The 23,737-nt window shown below is 48.4% G+C and overlaps 1 protein-coding gene and 1 pseudogene across 2 annotated transcripts, besides 3 other annotated features; both read left to right on the plus strand.

Moving 5' to 3' along the window:
• Positions 1,614-2,145: an enhancer, noted in NCBI's record as "H3K27ac-H3K4me1 hESC enhancer chr15:75568091-75568622 (GRCh37/hg19 assembly coordinates)". NCBI's record gives its function as "activates a minimal SCP1, AML or CMV promoter by ChIP-STARR-seq in primed H9 embryonic stem cells {active_cell/tissue: H9 hESC(primed)}" and the evidence as "EXISTENCE:reporter gene assay evidence [ECO:0000049][PMID:30033119]".
• GOLGA6D (golgin A6 family member D) lies at positions 1,991-21,394 on the plus strand. Of its 2 annotated transcripts, XM_047432965.1 has the most exons (19): positions 1,991-2,910; positions 8,670-8,823; positions 10,514-10,633; positions 12,557-12,637; positions 13,493-13,531; positions 13,793-13,843; positions 13,944-14,025; positions 14,122-14,228; positions 15,261-15,347; positions 15,456-15,563; positions 15,756-15,843; positions 16,245-16,753; positions 17,030-17,098; positions 18,429-18,504; positions 18,937-19,028; positions 19,593-19,695; positions 19,779-19,882; positions 19,972-20,125; positions 20,212-21,394. In XM_047432965.1, exons 2-19 carry the CDS (start codon positions 8,740-8,742, stop codon positions 20,337-20,339), a joined length of 2,082 nt encoding a protein of 693 aa, XP_047288921.1. In that variant the 5' UTR covers positions 1,991-2,910; positions 8,670-8,739; the 3' UTR covers positions 20,340-21,394. The 2 variants fall into 2 exon arrangements, with proteins under 2 accessions (XP_047288921.1, NP_001138696.1); NM_001145224.3 differs by lacking the exon at positions 1,991-2,910 and having other exon boundaries at positions 8,699-8,823.
• Positions 2,678-3,209: an enhancer, noted in NCBI's record as "H3K27ac-H3K4me1 hESC enhancer chr15:75569155-75569686 (GRCh37/hg19 assembly coordinates)". NCBI's record gives its function as "activates a minimal SCP1, AML or CMV promoter by ChIP-STARR-seq in primed H9 embryonic stem cells {active_cell/tissue: H9 hESC(primed)}" and the evidence as "EXISTENCE:reporter gene assay evidence [ECO:0000049][PMID:30033119]".
• On the plus strand, positions 18,570-18,792 carry RN7SL327P (RNA, 7SL, cytoplasmic 327, pseudogene; annotated as a pseudogene).
• Positions 19,850-20,527: an enhancer, noted in NCBI's record as "H3K4me1 hESC enhancer chr15:75586327-75587004 (GRCh37/hg19 assembly coordinates)". NCBI's record gives its function as "activates a minimal SCP1, AML or CMV promoter by ChIP-STARR-seq in naive H9 embryonic stem cells {active_cell/tissue: H9 hESC(naive)}" and the evidence as "EXISTENCE:reporter gene assay evidence [ECO:0000049][PMID:30033119]".
• Positions 21,395-23,737: the final 2,343 nt, after the last annotated feature.

A 23,737-nucleotide genomic window follows, 5' to 3' on the forward strand; every position in this document is an offset into this window, starting at 1 on the left:
TAACTGTAGAGCAGGTGAGGGCACGGGCTGCTGGGAAGGCCCCAGTGTACATATAGTATCTGTGTAACATTTTGTATATTCCAGGGGGTAGGGCCACCCCCTGTATCGTACCTAGCAGAGGTTGGAGCTGGCATATGAGGAGGAGGTTCTAATCATTATTTGTGGCTGGGAAACTTATTTATTGATAGCATGGGGCAGAGGAAGGAGGCGGGGATGGGGTTGTGGCTCCCTGGTGATGCGACTCCCGTTTATTTTGCTTTTCATTTTGGAATAAATGGATTTAGCCATACTGCTCAGCCTGGTGTGTTCCTTTTTCCCTCACTGGGTCCTGGAGTTTGTGCCACTGAATGAGGAGCCCCAGAGTTGTCTGAGCATGTCCAGCTGGGCTGTTGGTGACCTTCCAGGCCTGTTACCTTTATGCTGCCTAGTGACACCTGGTGGATTTCATTGGGACTGCCATGGTGCCTATGGGGCACAGTCCAGCCCTGACAGCCAACAGGCTCAGAAGCCTGATCTAGCGGTGGCCGGGAAGACAGATACTAGCACCCAAGGGCACTGACTTCCATTCACCCCAGGAGTCTTCCAGGCCCCCTGCCCAGCACTAACATCTCTTTGTGAGTCTCAACCAGACTGAGCTGCAGCTTCAGGGTCAGGGTAGGCTCTGACTTAACTGATGTGACCCAGGACAAGGGGATTTATTGATGGTGTCACATATGCTTAAGCTCTTGGCCTCTGTGATTTCTTTGGGGCATGATACCCCTCTGTCCCATGCTTAGGTGCCCACATGTGGCCACAAGTGCCTTTCCTACCACCATCCCTACTTGAGGCTGGTGTCCAGGCACCTGTGGCTCCAGGCAGAAGGCTGAGCGCAGAGCCAGGCCTGGGCAGATGTTCTGCAGGGGCTGCAGGAGCTGACAGTCCTGACCACCCAGCCCGTGGCCATCCATTCCCTTTCACCGTGGCTGGCTCTTCATCCACCATCCTTCCAGGGGCCAGGCCTGAACCCAAACTGACTTTTACCTGCCCTGGTCCCCCTTGTGCCTATCAGGTTCTTGGCTGAGCATGATGTTTTTGCCCATTTCCTTGATTATCCTCAAGAGGTTTATAGAGCCACTTGGGGACATCACATCTGTCTACCAGGTCCTCACCAGAGACATGACTGCCTTGGGCCGGGCCTGGGATAGTCAGGGGTCACACTCACCTGTTGGGACCTAGCTTCAGTGGCTTCAATCTGGGCAATGGCCTGATGGGCGGCTGCCCCTTCTCCTCTGCTTGGGGGAGGCAGGAGAGGAAGGTCAGGGAGGAGATCTGCTTCCTGCCCACCTGACACTGGTTGGAAGCAGGGCGCCCACCTGTGCCTGTCTCACCTTGCTGCAGGTGCATCGGAGGCCGAACCCCTCTCCCGATCTCCTGCAGGTGCAGATTCCAGGTTTCCAGTGGGTGTCAGTGTGGGCTCCAGAGCTCTCCTGGTCCTAGGGAACCCTGGGCTCCATGAGGCCTTGGCCTAACCAGATTGTTTCCCACACTGTCACCTCCCCACCCTGTCACCTCCCCAAACATGGGGCTGCATGCTCTGTGCCCTGGGTGGGACATTGGAAGGAGTGCCACCTTCCAGGTTTGGATCACAGTAAAGCCTCTGCCTTGGGGATGTGCTGGCCGAGACAGATGGGGTTGAACCAGCCATGATACGTTGGCCTTGGGCAAGTCATCTGTGCCTTGCTTCCCCAGCAGCCAGAAGGGATAATAGCACCTATTTCACCCATACTCAAGTGTTCACTTGTTAGCAGGAACTGAGTCCCGGAGGAGGTGCAGGTGGAGCCATTGAGGCAGCACTGCAGCTGGACCTGGGTCTGAGTCCCAGCTCCTGGCTGTGATATGCATCACTCTCTCCATTTATTTATCTGAAGGACAGGGCTGTGCTGTTCTGGGGTCACTGTGACAATGCAGCTGGCCTGTGTGAGTTGGTGGTGGCCTCCTGAGATGGTTTGAGGTGGGCTGGAGGTGTGTCTTGAATGCCCCCTCACCCCCATGGGGAAGACCCACTTAGGGAAGACTCAAGTGTCTGTATGGAGGAACCCACATTCCCTGCCCCTCAGCTGTCCTCTGTCCCTTCCTAGCCCCCTCTGCTGTCCTGCAGGCTCTGGCGGTGGCCATCCAGCTTGGTGGCCATCTGGCTGATCCACTCCTCCAGGTGGACCCTCTGTCCTCATGTGGTGCAGGTCCCATTGTGCCACCTCCAGACAGGCCATGCTAGCCCCAGGGCCTCCGTTCCCTGTTACCCAGCCCCCACCCCCAGGTACGTGCCCCCTCCCTAAAGCCCACTGTGTCCACCAGCTGTGTTTCAACTCTGTCTCTGAGCAAGGCCTAACGCAAAGCCTGAAACAGCCTGGCTTGTAGAGGGCCAGGAGACCAAAGCTTGAAGAGAGAGTGACGGTCTCCCAGAGCCCACTTAGCCTCAGCCCCAGGGCTGTGTCCATGCTGTTCCTGGCTCCAGTGAGCCAATTCTCTCCCATGACGCCTGTAAGGGCTCCAGTGGTGATGGAGGTAGCTGGAGAGAACAAGGCTGTCTTAACCCTCCCTCCCTGAGAAGGCCCAACGGGGAACGTTTTAGGCATCAGGGCATTCTGGGGGGCATCTTCCAGGGACCCCTCCTATACCCTGCCCTGCCCTGGCTCTCTAGTGAGAAATTGCAGTTGCTTGGACAGTGGGGCTGACCCAGGACAAATGCATATATTGGGCTGGTCTTCAGGGTGCTGGGGTAGGGGCAGGGGCACTTCAGGGATAGGAAGGAGGGGCCTGTGTGTTCCAGAAGTACAGAGGAACCTGGTGCCGGCCGCAGTCAACCCCTATGTGATGATCTTTCTACCCGCCCTCTTTCGTGTCTTGGTGCTGGCTGCTGTCTTTGGCCAGGTAAGCTCATGGTCTGGGCTCCTGGGGTCCACTCACTGGGCCTCCACACTGCCTGCAGGTAGGGGAGCCTTTGGGCCAGGACTATCCTTGGCTCCCCTTCCAGGTGGTGGGTTCAAAGACCATTCCTGGGTTCCACCACCGCCAAGCCTCAATGGTCACAGGAACTGCTGGGGCTTTCTAGGTTAAGACCCTTGCCTATCCTGGTGTTCCTCCCTGCAGTAGGGGGCTGCAGGGGTCAGCCTCAGTCTCTGCCTTGGGAGCCTGCCTTACCTTGCCTGAACTCAAGCGATCTGCCTGCCTTGGACTCCCAAAGTGCTGCAATTATAGGCGTGAGCCACTGCACCCAGCCCAGCCTTGACTTTGAAATATATGTTGTACATCCAGACAGCAGTGAACTCTGGGGGAACACCAAAGATGAGGAGAATGAGAGAAGAGATACCTCCAATTAAAGGAGTTAGGAAGAGATGCTTGAACTTATGTTTTAAAAAGTCAATGCAGGTTGGGCACAGTGGCTCGCACCTGTACACACAGCACCTTGGGAGGCTGAAGTGGGTGAACGGCTGGAGCCTAGAAGTCTGAGACCACCCTGGGCAACATGGCAAAACCCCGTCTGTACACAAAATACAATAATTAGCCAGGCACGGTGGTGCCTGTGGTCCCAGCTACTCGGGAGGCTGAGGTGGGAGGTCGAGGCTGCAGTGAGCTGAGATCCACCACTCCACTGCAGCCTGGGCGACAGAGTGACACCCTGTCTTAAAAAAAAAAAAATGTCACTGTTTTGGGGTTTTCTGGGTGAAACCTCTGTTTCCATAAAAAAAGAAAAAGGTCGAGACAGTGTGTATTACTGATTCAAAATCATAACCTGATGCTTAGAGTAAATCATTGTATCTATTGTTTCAAAAACCAACGTCAGGATTATTAAAAGTTAATTTTATTGGGTTTTTCTTTAAGCTTGGCTGATTCACTCAGGTCTGTCACTTCCAAGCCCATGTTTTACTACTTTGTAACCCTATTTGGAAGGAAAACTGCAGCTCACATTATGATCCATCCTGAGATGAAGAGTTTCACACATATACACCACATATACCCCCCACCACAGTATGACGACACAGCAACCCAACCTTGGGCAAATGGTACCACTGCCAGCAAATTTTTTTCTTTATTTTAAATATTTTTACTGTATTTCTTCTAACAGCAGCAAATGCATTTAACACTTTATTGAGATTCTCAACAGCTGCCATTTGGTTTGTATAGCAAATTGTTTACAAAGTAACTTTTTTCCATTTTTGATATTTTAATGAAAATTATGTTCTTCAGTTTTAAAGCTCTGTCCCTCTCCCAAAGAAAGGTTAATAACTAACTACCAAGTAATGATTATTTGGGAAAAGAAGAAAAGCAAAACCAGCTTGTAAACACTTCTGGAACGTGGGTAAGGGGCCAAAGTCAAGACCTTCTGGGCCCAGTGCAGGTGCTAGGCTTGCCTCGGGACACCATCAGCACTTCCCCATCCACAACATCCTCAACAGCTGGGAGCCATGTGCAGACCCCAGGGGGCTTCCTGTTCCACAAGCTGCCCTCTCTTTTTCCTCTCCACCCTTGCTGTTGGGCCTCCCTTCCAAATCTGCCTAACAAAGGCAGCAGGATCTTTAATACTGTTCAGCTTTGTCAATGGAGACAGGATACTCTAGAAAGTTGAGAGATTCCCTGGTCCAGTCTGGGGGAGGGAAAAAATATGCAGTGTAGCATAGATGGTTGTACTTGTCCACTCAGACACATGCTCATACTTATTAGATGGATGTATCAGATGCTTCAAAAGTCCTGATGTGTAGTAGCACAAAAGCTGCTTGTAAAAAGGAAGTTGCAAAATGATAAAAATTTCTGCAGCAGTTCAGGCTCCTGATGACAAAGCTGGTTCTGATAAGTAGTTCTTTTGACATGCACAGCAGCTTTCACTGTAAGTCCTGTGTTCCAGCGGTTTCATTTAGACCACGGGAAGTTGAAAGCAAAGTTTAAATGTTCTCTGCTGACAAAATGTGGTATATATCCATCAATGGACTTCTACTCAGTAATGAAAGGAACAAACTACCAAAACCTGTTATATGTCATGGACCAACCTCAAAAACCTTAGCTAAGTAAAAAGCCAGACATGTGACCACATATTGTATAATTCTGTTGATTTGAAATGTCCAAAAAAGGCAAGTTGATAGAGACAGAAATGGTCTGATTTACCTCAAGAAGTAGGGATTCAAGCTCTTAGGGTACATGTGATACATACATTAGAAGAAATAAGGAAAAGAAAAGAAATTTATATGTAAATAAATGAAAATAATACTTCTCCCTGATTATAAAGAAAATTGCATTCTTTTTGTAATAATTTGGAAGACAAAATATGAAGAAAAGTCTTTAATTTTGCCACTGAAAGCATTCTGGTTTGTTGCTTTTTATATTTTTTTATGCATATGAACATTTTAAAAAGTAGAATCGTAATATATAGTCTTTTGTCACTATGTTTTGGGCATATTTCTATGGCAGTAAATATATCCTTGGCATCATCTTTTTAAAAGCTCGATGTGTATTAAGTTAATCATTGCCACCCCAGAAGTAAATTTTCTTATATATATATTTTAATGGACGCAAGCAAGCATTTTGGGGCTGAAGTCATAGAAGTAGAATTTCTGGAGAAAAATAACATAAAATAGTTTTAAGATTTTTAATAGAAATTTTCAAATTATCCTGCAGAAAAATTGGTTCAGTTTATACTCCCAACAGGGGCAGAGCTCCAGTATCCCGTTTCCATTTGTCCTCTTTGCTGATATTTAAGGAGAAAATCTCATTGTTTTCATTGTATTTCTTTGGTTTCTAGTGCTTTTGAAACTTTTTTTTTTTTTTGAGATGGAGTCTTGCTCTATGGCCCAGGCTGGTGTGCAACAGTGCAATCTCGGATAACTGCAACCTCTGCCTCCTGGGTTCAAGCGATTCTCCTGCCTCAGCTTCCCGAGTAGCTGGGATTACAGGTGCCCACCGCCATGCCTGGCTAATTTTTGTATTTTTTAGTAGAGATGGGATTTCACCATGTTGGTCAGGCCCGTCTCAAACTCTTGACCTCAGGTGATCCACCCACCTCGGCCTCCTAAAGTGCTGGGATTACAGGCGTGAGCCACGGCCCTGGCCTTGAATCATTTTTATGTGCTTATTGGCCATTTTTATTCTTGTGGGAAGTGCCTGTTTCTCCATTGCCTATTTTCTGGCCAAGCTCCCAAGTCACATTTCACTTAATTTTTATCCTGCTGATTGAAAGCATTTTAACATAAACAGGAGCAGGACAGACTGTAATTATCTAGATCTTGCTCTGTCACCCAGGCTGGAGTGCAGTGGCATGATCATAGCTACCACAGCGTCGTACTCCTGAGCTGAAGCAGTTTTCATACATCAGCCTTCCAAGTAGCTAGGACTACAGGTGTGTGCCACCACCCCCAGCTAATTTTTAAGATTTTTTGTAGAGATGCGAATTCACTATGCTGCCCAGGCTGGTCTTGAACTCCTGACTTAAAGTGATCCTCCCACCTTGGCTTGCCAAAGTGTTGGGATTACAGGTGTGAACTACTGCTCCTGGCCGAGGGCTCATTTTGTTTGCTAGTGGTGATATTGGTATCTGTTTATATTTGAGGCTTTGGTGCTAGTGCTGAAGTATTACACTCACCATCCGAGGTTTGCAGGACTTTTGTTTTAATATTGAATAGATGGAACTGTTTACTTCTGCATCTTTGCAGGCATACAAAATGTGCCTACCAGGACTCTGCTTTATATCTATTGAAAGCAAGAAGTAATACAGTAAAACTTTGCCTGGCTAGAGGCTTTGGAAGAATGGAGTATTCTGATTTAACGCTATTGAAGTGTGAAGGTGAAAAGAATGAAAAACTTACATTTCCTGTTGAATGCAACTTGAAAATACAGCCAGTGATTCCACTTTTCTTCTCTAGTAAGTTTGGACATTCTGATCTACTTGGTGTTTTATTATAGAACTGCTAGTGTGCCCGAGACTTACATTGTGAAGACACTTTTTAAAAAACTTGAGAGGTAAGAGGGTGTAAATGGTATTGTGTGAGATCAGGCTGGATGAGAACTGACACTTGTAAACATACTTTTTAGGCTGAATCTCTGATTGCCGTTTGTTTTCTTATTTAACTCATAAAAATAAAACACATTGGATGGAGGGTAGGAGCAGGAAGGAGATTTATGTCTTTTAATTGCATGCCATTGTTTCATATCAAGACAGAACATATGGTATCCCTGGCTTTGGACCTACAGAAGGAAACACATTTTTCTGCCTGCTGTATGCCAGAGGTTCTTGAACACCTGGAGGGATGACTGCAGCACAGATTGCTGAGCCCTACTCCAGAGTTTCTGATTCACCATGTCCAGGGTGGGGCCTGAGAATTTGCACTTATAAAAGGTTCTCAGGTTCTGCTGCTGCTGCTAGTCCAGAGACTACATTTTTGAGAACCACTCTTGTCTACTAACTGTAAATTGTAGAACTCTAGAACAAAGCTTAGTTTGGTGTAGGAAAAGAAGCTCACAGGTTATGGAGCAAATCATGAAAGATTCAACCCTTGATCCCAGCCTAGTGTGGAATTCAGGTAACAATCAATACACAGTGACATAACACAATTCTTGGTTTTCATGATTGCAAGTCATAGCCAAGTATCAAGTGAGAAATTCAGTTTCATTTGCAAGGCTTAGAGAGGCCAGGTGATTCTAGAAAAATAGGCCTTGTATTTGCTTTAAACCAGTAAAGAGCTTTGAGTGCTTATTAAATGGAAAGCTTTGTGTTTTTATTTATTTTTGACTATTTTATTTTATTTTTTTGAGATGGAGTCTCAGTCTGTCACCCAGGCTGGAGTGCAGTGGCGTGACCTTGGCTCACTGCAACTTCCGCCTCCCGGGTTCAAGTGATTCTCCTGCCTCAGCCTCCCCAGTAGCTGGGATTACGGGTACCCACCACCACACCTGGCTAGTTTTTGTATTTCGAGTAGAGACAGGGTTTCACCATGTTGGCCAGGCTGGTCTTGAACTCCTGACCTAAGGTGATCCACCCACCTAGGCCTCCCAAAGTGCTGGGATTACAGGTGTGAGCCACCACACCCGGCCCAAAAGCTTTGTGTTTTTAAAGATATTAGACATGTTTCTTGTTTTTTAAAAAATCTTAATAATGTAGGAGAATAAGAGAAATGTTTTTTCCAAAGCCGAGAAATCATTGTGATTATTTTACCTTATTGGGATGTTGGATAATATAGTCCACTTCATTCATTAATCATCAAACATGCTATGGATTTTCCATTTTTATAGGATTTGTGTCTTAACTGGGGTAATACTGGTAATTCTTATACTCCCTCTGAAGATGAAAAATGTAGGCCAAAATCATAGACCATGCATAGAAGCTGGATAATGAAGACAGCTCTGGAGGAACATGTAGACACACACACACTGACACACATATATATAAAGTATAAATACATATTTTTTTAAAGTTTATTTTTAACATTTTAAAGCAAAAACCAGCCCTCCCCTCTCCCGGAGTAGGCAGGCCCCGCCCCTCTCCCCAAGTGGGCAGGGACAGCAGTCGCATGGGCAGCTTTCCTTGTGATGTCACAGGTTCCTCTGGGCACACTGCTGCCTGGCCACGCCTCCTTTCCCTTTCATCTTTCTCATTGACCAATGGGATTGGAGCAGTAAGGCCACACCCCTATTCTGCATTCTAGTGTGGCCCTGGTTACGCCTCCTCTGGCTCAGTCACACAGCAGCCTTGTAGGTGACTGGAGGTGTTCGCTGATGTGGCCCCAACCCTACCTCCCTCCCCACCCCATGATGTTAGAAGAATCTCGACAGAATAAATTGGCAGCAGCCAAGAAAAAGGTAAAAAGCCAAGAAAAAGGTCATGGCCCCCCAACCTAGCCAGAGATCCCCTCTGATGACAAGACCACTCCCAGAGTCCATACCACTCCTGAGGCACACCGGGCTGGGCCCCCCTACCCCGGCGCCTCTGGACTCCCCCCACCAACGTCTTGTCAGTCAGCCCCGCCCCTTCAGCAAGCAGCCCAGCCTCTGCCCTCGCCAATCACCCTGCGGTGACTTTGGGCGGATGACTACTGGGGATACCTGCTCCATATTCAGCCCTCACGTCCTGCCACCCCAAGCCCAACCTCCCTGGGTTCTTTGGGCTCACCTCTCCAAGGACCTGGGTCCCCCAGCCCCAACCCCCCAGCATCGCCAGTCATCCCGGGGTGACTTTGGGCTGGTGACTCCTGGGGTTCCCTGAGCAGACTCTGCTCTCCCCTCCTGCTGACCCAAGCCCGACCTCCCTGGGCTCTCTGGACTGGCATCTCCAAGGACCTGGGTCCCAGCCCCACGTCCCCCCTCCCCCATCGTGGATCGGCAACTCAGCCATTGCACTGATGAGGTTTCCCCCACCCCCAGGAGGAGTGGAATGTAGTGATGTCACAGTCCTCCTAGGAACTGTCATTACTGCTGCAAGACCGGCCTTTGATCTTATAACCCAGTCCCCTAAGCATTCTCACCCCATTTCTGGTTCCTCTGGTCACAGCACAAATTTCCAGCTAGAAGGGAAATGGGGACCATGGGACCTAGGAGCAAGAGGTTTCAGGCTGCCTTACTCCCTTCACATAGACATCGACAGTGTGAAAAGCCTACACTTCCCCTGTGAGCTCAAAACGTTGACAGTATCTCTGGGTGGTAATGGGAGAATGGGTTTGGTTTGGTTTTCTCCCAGGCTTCTACTCTCCAGAGAGACTTTAACATTTTTTTCCGAGTTCTCCACCTCATATTCTAATTCTCCACGGTTCTGGGACCAGACTGCCCTTCAGTCAGTGGTCTCTGAAGTGAGATTTGCTCATCTTCTGTGGAATAGGTCTTGGGAAACTGAACTTGACAGCTTGAATCTTCCTCATATCATCTCAACTTAGGGTACATTGAGTGCCACAGGATAAATGTGGGAGATCTTTCTGAAGCATCAGTTTCCCTTGATTCTCTTGAGAGAGAAAAAACATTAATGTACTTAGGGGTGACCCTCACATAGGTTTCTAAGAGTATACCAGACTTCTCTCTGAAATGAGACTTGGGTTGTCCTCTTTCTGATAAATTCCCAGATTTAACAAAAAAGCTGCCTTCTGCCATGAGGACACATTGATATAAAAGTTTGAGAGATACTGGTGCACTTCTTCACACTAACAGGCATTTGAGGATGTATGACTCTAAACCACACAGCGTGTAGTTCATGCCTATGTAATGTTTACTTTTCTACCTCTGCGTCTGGTTTTGGTCCCCGGCAGCTGCTGATTCATGGCAAAACCCCAGAGCTTGGAGTCAGAAGACTGAGTTTAAGTTCCATTATTGCCCCCCCACACTTTTTTTTTTAGCCATAATATCCATCCCTCTCAGTCACTTAAGTGATTGTGACAACACCTTGTACAGTTGTTGGTGGCATTAAATCAGATGGTGTATAAGAGTATTTTGCAAAAACTGTAAGGAGGGTGTGGCTGTAAGGGCTGGTAGTTCTCATGAGTATTACTGCTCTTCTTTCCCACAGCTAAAAGAATATCAGCAAAGGAAGAGCCCTGGTATTCCAGCAGGAGCAAAGACAAAAAAGAAAAAAACTGACAGTAGCCCTGAGACAACCACTTCCGGTGGTGGCCACTCACCTGGGGATGTGAGTCTTGGCTGGCCAGGCTCCTGGGGACAGGGGGCCCAAGGGGCAGTAGAGGGTAATTGTTGAGATTGCTGGGTACTGGTTAAGAATTCTGGGTTTGAATCCTGCTTCTTCATCTGCTAGCGATCTGATTTATGGCAAGTTGCTTGAGCTCTTTGGGCCTCTCTTTTCACATCTGTAAAATAGGGGTAGTATTGTTTGACTTCCATTTGTGAAGTTTAAATGAGATTCCTTATTGTTGTTGTTTTCATGTTAACCCCTAGTACGTGGCCTGCTGTAAACACCCAGGATACCCAGGAAATGGTCATTGCTGTTTGATTTTCCTGATCCCCACTCGCAAGGGGAAGCTGGGCTAATGAGTACAGCCACTTGCCATCAGGCTGTCCCTCTAGGAGTCACTGAAGGGGGCCCAGGGTGTGGTGAGGAGAGCCCAAGGCACTAGGAGCAAGAGAAGGTCTAACTTGCCACCAGCTTGCTGGGTGACCACAGAAAAATCACTTCTTCTGCTGGGCCTCAGTTTCCTCCTCTGTAAGATGATACTGGATAAGATCAGTGTCTTTCAAACTTGTTTTTTAGCTGAAGTCCCCTTAGTTCAAGTGAACTCTTACTCAGGAGTCTGTTTTTTTTTAATGGAGGTGGAGGTCTGGAGCTCTACCAGATTCATCGTCCATGTCCTGGGCCTGAGGAGAGGGGTCCAGTGAGCGTATTAAGATCTGCATTGGTCAGCTGACTCCACTCTGTGACTGCGTCACTCGGGGGACTTTTCCATCTATTTTTTCCTGCCCCTGGCAAGGCAGCAGGTGGCCATTTGGAAGAATGGCACAGGCCATGGTTTTAATCTCCTCTGCTCTTCTTCAGCGTTTCCTTTTCCTGAACCCACATCTTCCTCCTACCCTGACTTTCTTGCTTCTCTCTAAGCCACTTCTGTCTTTCACCCCCTGCCCTTGTTTTTCCCTTGTCACCTCCTGTAGATTCAGGACATTCTGAAGGTGCGGGTGTCCAACCTTAACCACTCCAATGGGGTAGTGCTCCCCCATTGGACAAGTGGAAGGTGAGGCAGTGCCAAGACCCCTCTCTGGCTTGCTGTCTACAGCTGTGCATGGCCCTGAGGCTTCTCTGGCTTGGGGGATGCTTGGCCTCTGCCTTGTTTTATGTTGCTGCCATTAACCTTCAGCCTGTTTCTGTCTGCTTCTTCACCTGCTTGATTGATTGGGTTTTTTCCTTCCCCGCGTCTTTTATTATCTTGGAAATGGTGACGCCTAAAAGTTTAAAAGTAATCTGGGAATAACGTACAGAGCAGGCATGTGGGATTTGGGCTCTTTTTTTTTTTTTTTTTTTTTTTTTTTGAGACAGAGTCTCACTCTGTCACTCAGACTGGAGTGGAGTGGTGCGATCTCGGCTCACTACAACCTCTGCCTCCCGGGTTCAAGTGATTCTCTTGCCTTAGCCTCCTGAGTAGCTGGGATTACAGGCACCTGCCACTACGCCTGGCTAATCTTTGTATTTTTAGTAGAGATGCAGTTTCACCATGTCGGCCAGGCTGATCTTGATCTCCTGACCTCAAGTGATCCACTTGTCTCAGCCTCCTGAACTGCTGGGATTACATGTGTGAGCCACTGTGCCCGGCTCCTTGCTGTTTTTATACTTTCTCCATATACATAACTATTTCCCATGTAAGTTTTTTTTTAATTTCTCATTTTTATTACTCCTGCATCATCTGTTACCCTGAAGGATCTGGAAGTAAGAGGCCCTGGGCTGAGGTGCAGTGACTTTGCAGGCCAGCCCTCCAACCTCCTCTCACAGTGGGGGCTGGGTGACCCTCTGCCAGCTGAGACAGCCCACACACACCCCAGCCCTAATGATTGTTCTCTCTACCTCTCCCCACAATCCTCTTCCAACTCCTCCTCTCTGCATGTGCCTCAGAGCCAGTACCAAGAACTAGCAGTAGCCCTGGAGTCAAGCTCAGTGACAATCAATCAGCTCAATGAAAACATAGAATCATTGGTAAGTCCAGTGGGGTCCCCTGATTCCATGCTGCCAATCCTGGGCTTTAGTTTCCCCTTGGGGCCCTGAAGAAAGGGGCTGGGGGCCCCTGGTGCCAAGGGCAAATGGGGAGCTGGAGCACCCAGGCCTCACCTGGAGGGACCCCAGAGCAAGGAGCACGCAGCATGGCTCTTCTGTCACTGCCCTCTTTGCCGACTCTCTCTTCTCCAGACACCCCTGCTCCAGTCCTTGCCACACACGCCCTGAGGTTGTCACCTCTCAGGGAAGCGCTAGCCTGACTGGTTGTCAGGGGCCCTGTATTTCTGCCCTGACTCAGTCCCTAATTTGCTTTGAGTCTGGACAAGCCACCTGTCCTCCTTGGGCTTGTGTTTCTGGAGGAGGTAGAGCATCAAAGTTCTCTGTTAGCTCTGAGAGTCTGAGATTTAAAGGCCCCTAGAATGGAAACCTGAGGGCCAAGGGCTCCTGTCTGTCCTTTTCCATCCTATATCTGCTGTGAAGAACCGTAGCTGGCCCGTATGTGTTCAGTAAATGTTTGTTGAATGAAGGCACCTTTCTAAATCACAAGCTGGCAGAAGGGTGGGCCTTCCTGAGACTCCCTCTCTAGAGGTTTATGTTACTGTCCTTTCAAGAGAATCCAGATTCAGGCTTTGAGTTCTGTGGCTGTGGGCAAAAACCAACAAAGACCCAAGTCCTCTGTCCTTGGGAGCTTGAGGAGGGTTGACCAGTTTGTGTTGCCATTGGTTCTGAGAATGTTGCCTTTAAAATCCATTCCTGGACCCTGCCTACCGCTTCCAGGTCTGGGGAATAGAGTTGAGGGGGCCACTCTCAGTCACCTGAATTTGACTCTCCCCACAGAAACAGCAGAAGAAACAAGTGGAACATCAGCTGGAAGAAGTAACGTGATTTCTTTGCTCACAACATGACTGCTGGGTTTGGGGGACACTCAGATGCAGAGGCGCCAGTCTCATCTTGCCCACTCCCAGCCTGGGGAAGAAGGCTCACCCATCAGATTCCACCCCATCCCCACAGGGTCCCTGATAACCTGGTCCCATGGGTGGGCCTGTCCTGGGGCATTGGTGGCATTCTGGGGGCATGTCTCTTGCTGTGCCATCTCTGCCTCCCTGTGATAAGAGCTCTGTCTTCCTCTTCCTACAGGCAAAGAAAACAAACAATGAAATACACAAAGCACAAATGGAGCAGTTAGAGGTGAGTGGAGGGTGGGGAGCTTTCTCCTGTCCTCTGGAGAATGTTTCTTTCCTTCTCTTTCAGCATTTCCTTGGCTTTTCTCCCAAACGTTCAATTCCAGACAATCAACATCCTCACATTGGAAAAGGCAGACTTGAAGACCACCCTTTACCATACTAAACGTGCTGCCCGACACTTCGAAGGTGGGAATCTGGGCATCCCGTCATCCTTCAACCTGGCACTTTGACAGGTCTTTAGGGGGAGTCTTTTGGGCCCCATCTCAACCTCTCTCATTACAGAAGAGTCCAAGGATCTGGCTGGCCGCCTGCAATACTCCTTACAGCATATTCAAGAATTGGAGCGGGCTCTCTGTGCTGTGTCTACACAGCAGCAGGAAGAGGACAGGGTGAGTCCAACCAGCTGCCCCATCCCCTGGCAGCCTGGCTTCCCAGATAGAGGAGTGAGCCTAAAGGTCCCTTCTGCAGGATGGAGTGTCCTGCCCAGAAGGCAGCATGGTCATTTCTCACTACTTTTGTGTATGGTTGTTAGAGGCAGCCTGGGGCTAAGTCAGCTGCTGTGGGTGAGTTGGGGGGCACTGTGGGGAGTGAGCACTGGATGCAGAGCTCAGAGGCCAAGTGCCTGCCCTGCCCTTTCCTGGCTGTGGCCTTGGCCAAGTCCTAGGTGGGGTATTGGGTAGTTGTTCTGTGAAGGTACAGAAGAGCACCTTTAGTATGTTACCATTTCTGTAGAGAGAGGAAAGGGGTGTGTGTGTGTGTGTGTGTGTGTGTGTGTGTACTATGATAATATACAAAAACATGTCTGCAAGCATTCATAAAAAACTCAGGAGAGAGTAACAGGGTGCCTGGAGACACCTCCCTTCTGTACCTTCTGAGTTTTGGACTGTATGAATGTATCATCCTTTCAAAAAGTGAACAAAAGATTAATTTCCCCCTTCCTATCTGTGTCCCCACCCCCAGCAAGAAAAATGGGCTTAGAGAATAGGATAGACCTGGGTGTTCAAATCCCAGCTCTGTCTAAGTGATCTTAGGCAAGCACTTAACCTTGAACACTCGATGTTTTTCATCTACACAATAGAGGTAATCCTAGTAACCGTCTCATATGGTGGTTGTGAGGATTAAATGGGATTGCTAGCATGGAACCTGGTGAAGCACTCCATAACGGTTCAAACAGTGGTAGTAATAACAGTAATAACAATAGCAATATTATCTGATCTCTCTGGGCCTCTGTTAGCCAGCTGTAAATTCTATCTCTTTCCCTCTCCCTTCCAACTTTACTGAGTTCTTTTAATAACCAGGCCACGGGCTTGGAAATGCCTTGACCTTTACTGACCGAGTTGTATATTGAGCCTAGCCCTAGCCCTTTTAAGGGGCACTGCCCGAGCTCCCCAGATCAAAACTTCTCACTCTTCACCATCCAGTCCTCGAGCTGCAGAGAAGCGGTCCTCCAGCGGCGGTTACAGCAGACCATAAAGGAGCGGGCGCTGCTGAACGCACACGTGACACAGGTGAGGCTTTGCAGAGGGAGGGATGTGGAAGGAAGATGACCCCAGGTGGCCAGGAGCAGGTGAGGACCAGTGACAGCCCTTCCTAACTTCTGTGCCCATTTCTTGCAGGTGACAGAGTCACTAAAACAAGTCCAGCTAGAGCGAGACGAATATGCTAAACACATAAAAGGAGAGAGGGCCCGGTGGCAGGAGAGGATGTGGAAAATGTCGGTGGAGGTGAGGTCTGACCCTTCAGCCCCCACTTTAGATAGGTCACTGGATCTTTCTGGGCATCTGTAAAATGGGAATAGTACAGCCAGAGGTGGTCATGGGTCTGGGCTTTGTGGAGATGGGGACAGAGAATGAGATGGTAGCCTGTCCAGCCACCAGCCCCTCTCTCCAGGGCCCTTTCCCCTGTGCTTTGGGCAGGCTCGAACATTGAAGGAAGAGAAGAAGCGTGACATACATCGGATACAGGAGCTGGAGAGGAGCTTGTCCGAACTCAAAAACCAGATGGGTAAGATGGGGCTGGTGTGACCTCGGAGCAGGACTGGCATCAGAGGTCTGTGGGGGTGGCTTAGAATGCCCCAGGGAGGTGGGTGGGTGGAAGGGCTTTGAGGCAGAGGGAAAGAGGTCTGTGCCAGGAGACGGCAAGTTTTGTCATCTCCATGAGCCTCAGGGTCCCCATCAGCAAAGAGGGAGGAGTGCCCGTTGTCAGCCACCCACAGTGCTCTCTATGTGAAAGTGGCTTGGAAATTGGCTACCATTGGGTGCGAGGAATGATTAGCAGTGAGGCCAAGTTTGGGAAGCCTGAGAGGAGCTGTGCATCAAGAGGAGGTTTTTTTTTTTTTTTTGAGGGGGATGTGGGTAGAGGGGTTGGGGAATCCAGAGGCCCTTATTGTCTGCTTCATTTCTCAGCTGAGCCCCCATCCCTGGCACCCCCAGCAGTGACCTCTGTGGTGGAACAGCTACAAGATGAGGCCAAACACCTGAGGCAGGAGGTGGAAGGTCTGGAGGGAAAGCTCCAGTCCCAGGTGGAAAACAATCAGGCCTTGAGTCTCCTTAGCAAGGAACAAAAGCAGAGACTCCAGGAGCAGGAGGAGATGCTCCGAGAGCAGGAGGCGCAGAGAGTGCGGGAGCAGGAGAGACTGTGTGAACAAAACGAGAGGCTTCGGGAGCAGCAGAAGACGCTACAGGAGCAGGGTGAGAGGCTGCGAAAGCAGGAGCAGAGGCTACGCAAACAGGAGGAGAGGCTGCGAAAGGAGGAGGAGAGGCTGCAAAAGCAGGAAAAGAGGCTGTGGGACCAGGAGGAGAGGCTGTGGAAGAAGGAGGAGAGGCTACAAAAGCAGGAGGAGAGGCTCGCGCTCTCCCAGAACCACAAGCTCGACAAGCAGCTGGCCGAGCCACAGTGCAGCTTCGAGGATCTGGTGGGTTGCCCCACCTGGGGAGCCTGCCCTCATCCCTATCCCTCCAGGCCTTTGTTTCCCCACCTGTAAAATGGGCCAGTGTAGCCCTCACATGAAATGCTACTTCTAAAGGCACCTGTGAGCTACAGCTCATCGGGCTCTGCTCTGATGGCTGTGGGGGAGAAGGGATGATTTTTCTAACCTGCCTCCACCCTTCCTGGTGATATGGGAGGCAGACACCAAGGTCTGGTGTCTCCAGCTGCAGTGGATGGCCACTGATTGCTTCTCTCTGTCCAGAACAACGAGAAAAAGAGCGCACTGCAGTTGGAGCAGCAAGTAAAGGAGCTGCAGGAGAAGCTAGACGAGGTGAAGGAGATGGTAACCTCCACCCCATCCAAGAAGGGCTGGGAGGCGGGCACCAGCCTCTGGGGAGGGGAGGTGCCAGGCCAAAGGCAGCTCCAGCTGGGAGGCAGGTGACCCCAGCACCCTCCAGTGCAGCTCTATGACTGTTTCTTGCTTCCTGCCCTCTGACTTTTAGAGGTGGGTAGCCCTGGGCTCCTCCCAGGTCTGGACATCATCATCCCAGCTAGAGACATGGAGCCCCCAATCACAGGGGAAGAGACAGTGGTACAAGAGGCTCCTTATCCAGGCACGGTGGCTCGCACCTGTAATCCCAGCACTTTGGGAGGCTGAGGCAGGAGAATCACTTGAGGTCAGGAGTTTGAGACCAGCCTGGCCAACGTGGCGAAACCTCACCCCTACTAAAATTACAACAACAACAACAAAAAATTAGCCAGGCATGGTGGCGCATGCCTGTAATCCCAGCTACTCAGGAGGCTGAGGCACGAGAATCGCTTGAGCCCACGTGGTGGAGGCTGCAGTGAGCTGAGATTGCACCACTGCACTCCAGCCTGGGCCACAGAGTGACACTGTCTCAAAACAAAACAAAAAAGGCTCCTTAGATTCAAACTGGATTCTGGCCTGGGTTCCACTGGTCACCATTCAACTACTGTTCATCTCTAAGTCTCTGTTTCTGTGACTTCAAAAGGAAGTTAGCATTTTCCTTGCAGAGGTGCTGAGGATTGAATGAGAGAATACCTGGAAAGCATTAGGCATGTAGCACACTTAGCAGATGGTGGTTGGCTCCCTCTGCTTTTCCACCAGTCTGTGGCCTACAGTTTAAATGGTGGGAAGAAGGACATGAGATTTGAGGCTGGGGAAGGAGGTATGGGGTTCTAGGCAAGGGAGGAAGCCTCTTAGGCCTGGAGCAAGGGACCAGGGTCCTGGGCAGGTGACAGAGCCCCACGGTGCCCTCGCTACCCTATTAATGGGCCCAGAATCTGGAAGCCAGCCACCATGTGCCCTCATGCCCAGGGTCTTCCTGCAGGTGGAGCTGAAGAGCCAAGAGTCTCAGAGTCTGCAGCAGCAGCGAGACTAGTACCTGGGTCACCTGCAGCAGTACATGGCCACCTATCAGCAGCTGACCTCTGAGAAGGAGGCGCTGCACAGGCAGTTACTGCTGCAGACCCAGTTCGTGGACCAGCTGCAGCAGCAGGAAGCTTGGGGCAAAGCGGTGGCTGAGATGGCCGGCCAAAAGTTGCAGGAGACCCAGGGGAGGGAGTTGCTGAGGACGGGGCCCCGAGGGGGATGACCTGGCAACCTCCGTGCCTTCTCACTCTGTTTCCCGTCCCCTTAGGAGCACCTAGAAGCTGCCAGCCAGCGGAACCAACAGCTAGAGACCCAGCTAAGCCTCGTGGCTCTCCCTGGAGAAGGTACAGGAGACCACTCAGAGGAAGAGGAGAGAGCCCCAGGAGGAAGGGGGGACTGTTAGCAGCATAGGATTGAGGGGTTGGAAGAGACCTTTAGAACAGCTGGTCGTTATGCCAACCGGGTGTCCGCACTAAGTTCAGCATCAATATGGTGACCTCCTGGGAGCAGGGGGCCACCAGGTTGCCTAAGGATGAATGAACTGGACCAGATCAGAAAGGGAGCAGGTCAGGACTCCCGCACCGACCGGTAGTGGGACTGTGCCTGGGCAATATAGCAAGATCTTGGTTCTTAAAAGGAAAAATAAAGAACAGCAGCTCACTCCCCTCTGGGGAGAGGCTGGCTCAGGGTTACACAGTCAGGGTGGGGACAGAGGTAGGCCCACAGTACCTTCCTTGTTGGGTTGTCTGAGGACCCCTCTGGCCACCTCCCCACAGGAGATGGAGGACAACATCTGGACAGTGAGGAGGAGGAGGCGCCTCGGCCCACGCCAAACATCCCAGAGGACCTGGAGAGCCGGGAGGCCACGGTGAGCCTGACTTTCCCTGCCCCACTTTGCCACCTTCCTCTGTGGTCCCTCCCAGAGCCCGTTATGCTCTTGGTTTTCCCACCTTCTGATTTCTCTGGCCCCTCACCCCTTCCGGGAGCCAGTGGTCAGACACTTTGTCACCTGTGACCAACAGGTGCACTCTCTGAGGCCCCAAGGGAAGGGGTTGTTCTCCACCTCCCTGCCTCATTTGTTCTGTCTATGCCCCTACAAGAATACTCACCTCTTGCCTTCAAGTGGCATTTTTCAACTCCGCTGGAGCCAGTTCCCAGGAGGAGCAGGCACGGCTATGTGGGCAGCGGAAGGTGTGAAGGCTGTGCTGCCTGCACCTGGCTCATCTGGTGGCCTTGGCCTGGAAGGAGCCAGAGGCAGAGGCCCCAGCCCCAGGGAGGACTGGAGATGAGTTTGTGTGTGGGGAGAGCTACCGGGCCCTGAAGGAGGCCATGGTGAAGCTGAAAGGGAGTGAGTCCTGGCATGGGCCAAGAAAAGTGGGGGCGGGGCAGAACAGGTCACTCCCGAGGTGTGACCCCATTATTTTGGCTCCAGAGCAGCTTTATGGACCTCCCGAAGGAGAAGGCGGACGGGACGGAGCAGGTGGAGAGACGAGAGCTTGGATTCGTCCAGCCTTCTGGAGTGACAGACGGCATGAGTGAGCGGGAGGCCAGGGCACGGGCATGGGGAGCTGCAGGGCCGTCGGAGGGACCCTAGTGTCTGAGCTGTGTCCTCTCACAGGAGAGTCCTTCACCGTATATGAAAGCCAGGGGGCAGTGCCAAACACGCGGCACCAGGAGATGGAGGATGTCATCAGGCTGGCCCAGAAGGAGGAGGAGATGAAGGTAGGGCGTGCAACATCTCTGCGGGGTTGGGGGTGGGCATGGGCACTGGTGCAGGCTCCAGGGTGGGAGCTGAGCACCCCTCCCTTCAGGTGAAGCTGCTGGAGCTGCAAGAGTTGGTGTTGCCCCTTGTGGGCAACCATGAGGGGCATGGCAAATTCCTCATCGCTGCCCAGAACCCTGCTGATGAGCCCACTCCAGGGGCCCCAGCCCCCCAGGAACTTGGGGCTGCCGGTGAGCAGGATGGTGAGTAGAGCTCTCAGGCGGGGTGGGCAGGCAGGGGCAGGGGAGGCTCGCACTGTGCTCAGACCCCCGCCTCCCTCTCTCCGAAGTTTTTTATGAAGTGAGCCTGGACAACAACGTGGAGCCTGCACCAGGAGTGGCCAGGGAGGGTTCTCCCCATAACAACCCCACTGTACAGCAGATCGTGCAGCTGTCTCCTGTCATGCAGGACACCTAGGAGCACCCAGGCTTGCCCAGCAAACCCTGCGTGCCATTCTTCTACCAGGCAGCCGAGAACAGGGAGATAAACATCATCATCTTCTAAGAGCTGGTCAAGAAATTTAAAACAACAACAACAACAAAAAGTTACGGGGTTCATCTCCTACACAATTCATTTACTCCATTTGAATGCTAGAGCCACTCACTTTTATTTGTGTTTCTAATTTACCGTTTAAATTTATTTGTAAAAAGTTAAGGGAGAGTTGGTCTTTCCCTGATGTTCTTTCTGGCATCCTTTAGCATTTTTATTTTTAATTTGATAATTGTAGGTCATTAGTATGCATATCGAGTTTGCCCTTAGGTGGTGGGAATTCAAACACACAAAGACCCACTAATTTGCACAAAACTATTCTGGCTGGTTTGGAACAGGCTGCCATGCTTTTTTAATGTTATTGCAGCATGTATATTCATTCCAGAATTCAGATAAAATGTGCTTATGTTCTGCTATTACGTTTGATCGAATCCTAACCACAGTGAGCTCTTCATTAGCTCAATATGTGGTTTGCCCTCAATTGAGCACTGTTTATTACTTTGTAATATGCCACTGTGAGTACTGACATTTAGAGTTGTTTAAAGGCCAAGAACTGGAAACAGCCTTTTCCCTATTTTCTGTGTATTGGGGATGGGAGTAATAACATTTTGGGGAGCTTTTTAAATCTCACAGAAGAGGAAAGTGGCCTGCTCTGGCAGGTGTGTGCAGGATAGAGTGTGTTTCATTTGTTCTGGTGCCAAGAATGAGCGCTGCACTATGGTAGTTCCCTTAGGATTTGTATGTGCTCTGGGCTCATGAAGATATTGCATCATGAGCTGCAGCAGTTGTACCCTTTCTTGATGACCTAAAAAGGGATTATTTCTGAGGAATGAAAGGCTCCCATCATTGACTGTGGATGTGGAAAACCTTTTCTAGCTTAGAGCATTTATATCTACAATACATTTTAAAGTCAGAGTTCATGTTACCTGTTTTAATCACATGAGTATATGTCCCAGTACACAAAAGGGCACTGGTTGGCATTCTTCTTAAGGTATTTAGTGAAGATCATAAGAAATCCTTTAAGAGTTTAAATGTCCCTGGAAGAGGCATACAGGCTCTAGTCAAGAATGAATTCGAGTGAAGGAAAGCTGTGTGACACCTGGCCTTCCTCTATGTTCATGGAGCTTCTTTGAGGCTAGAAGATTGATTTTATCATCTAGACCTCTCTGGCTAATACCTATTCTTCAACCACACTAGTTACTCTGACATAGGAATTTACTTCTTTTCTTTGAATGGAAAACACTTTAAAAATAATAACAATCATTATTATAAACCAATATATGTGAGAGTACTTAGTTGAAACAAAAAGGAGTTTTAGTAGACAGTATTATACTACACATGAAAATCAAGGTGAAGTTTATGCAACTTAAAATGTTTACAAGCTGCCGTGCAATCTACTGTTTGTGAGTGTCCAAGTATTATGAGAAAAAGTGTCTATACAATGACAGACTTATGTTTCCTCACAAAGTTCTTCACAAAGAGTGAAATATGTTTTTATACCTCTCGGTTTCAGTTAGAGGCATATTTTGTGCCATATTTATGTTAATGTGCCTATACATGATGAGTGAATTATTTCAGTCATACATTGCCTAAATCATAACTTTAAGATGCTTGGGAAAGAATCAACAGCTAAAAGTTCATGAAGTTCTAATGTCTGTGTTCCAAAATACGTCACATTATTAGGATGCAGGGAGAGATGTGTGTGCGCTCCCTGGGGTGGGCATTTCTAGTTACTAGACCATCTCCATTTTTAGCATTTGGCATCTTCATGATACTTTTATACATATGACATTAATAGGAGAGCAATAATACGATTTTACAGATGGAATAACAGATGTGCCTGCATTCACTGAAAGAGTGCAAATATTAAGTCCTTGTGACTTCAACTGACTCTTCCAAATTGTATGAATTTATCAATGTATTAGATAAACCCAGTTTCAGAATTATAAAGAAAAACTGTTAGACCAACTAATGTGGCTAATTAACAGTAGGACGATTTCTAGCCCGAGGGTTTAAAATGGACTTCAAGTCCTGTTCTTGCCTTTTATTTTCTGAACTTGCCACTTTTGCATTCTTTGAGTTCAGTTTAAAGACAGTTTGAGTCCAATTTAGACCCTCGGGCTAGAAATCATATCACTGTTAATTAGCCACCTTATTTGGTCTAACAGTGGGTTTACCTAATACATTGATAAATTATTTCAAAGGTATTTTTATAGTTCAAATCACTTCACTTTTACCCTGATAAATATAAATGACTAGGAATGATCTTCAGATAGCCTTTAGCACCTGCAACCAATCTGACAATAATGTGTTCATCAGGTACCTGTGGATTAAATCACACACCGGCATATTTAAGCTGAATGTCAGTCTGGAAAATGAATGTACTATATTAACTGAAATACCACTCTTTGTGTAGGTATTCTGTCATATATTTAAGAAAAATTAAATAGCATGTAAATCGTATGACAACAACTTAAGTCTTTCTTCAAAGTGCATGTGGTCCTTTGCAATACCTCATTCAGCCAAGTATTTGTTCTCTTCCTCATTCAGTATAAGGCAGCTTTCAATTTGCTTAGAAGGCAACATTAGAAGGGTAGAGTTTAATCAGAAACATAGAATTTTAAAGTGTGGGTTCAACTGAATAAATCTGAATTTCTGTAGGAAGTAAAGAATTAAAAACCGATTTAAAGATTGCAATATATAATCATTTTTAAAGTATTTGATTAAATCTGATAGGTTTTCCAGAAATGAAAAAAAGTCAGTTCTAAAACCAAAGCTGATATTTAGAAAATGTGAAAATGTAAATCAGCCCTATCCATAATAGTTTCTCTAAAACTTTATCTTAAAGAGTCATTTTAAAAGAATATAACTATTCAAAAATGTAACTGCTATCTTAAGTTTTAAAATAAGTTAAGACATTTTGAAATATGAATACTGTAGTTTAAAAGAAAGAAACTGGGGGAAGGAAAAGTAGAGAAAGAAATGCCAATTCCAATGCAAAGCTTTATTTGCCAAGTTTTCTTAGAATGACTTTTACCAATTTATGAATTCTTGTAAACAGAATGTATAATGGAAATACTGAAACACTGTTGCCTAAAGTGGCATTATTCACTGCTACTGTGATGCTACTGTAATGTAATAAATTATTAAATTGTTGCAAAGTGCTGTTTTTGCCTTAAAATTTTGTGTGTCTTGAAAACTGTGGTGTTAAAGGTATTGAGACTGTGCAAATGCTGGGCACGCTTGGCATGAGATAATCGGTTTTTATTTTTATAAAATTGTAATGTAACCATGAAGTGTGTTTATTTGAAGAACACAAACCCAAA

This window comes from Homo sapiens, chromosome 15, assembly GCF_000001405.40.
Source record: "Homo sapiens chromosome 15, GRCh38.p14 Primary Assembly".
Lineage (NCBI taxonomy): Eukaryota > Metazoa > Chordata > Mammalia > Primates > Hominidae > Homo > Homo sapiens.

Excerpts from the sequence above, each read along its gene's own strand:
- GOLGA6D (XM_047432965.1), top strand. The coding sequence starts at position 8,740 with ATGTGGCCCCAACCCTACCTCCCTCCCCACCCCATGATGTTAGAAGAA. Across the intron at positions 10,634-12,556 it reads GTGGCCACTCACCTGGGGAT|AGCCAGTACCAAGAACTAGC; the intron begins GTGAGTCTTGGC and ends CATGTGCCTCAG. Across the intron at positions 15,564-15,755 it reads TGTGGAAAATGTCGGTGGAG|GCTCGAACATTGAAGGAAGA; the intron begins GTGAGGTCTGAC and ends TGCTTTGGGCAG.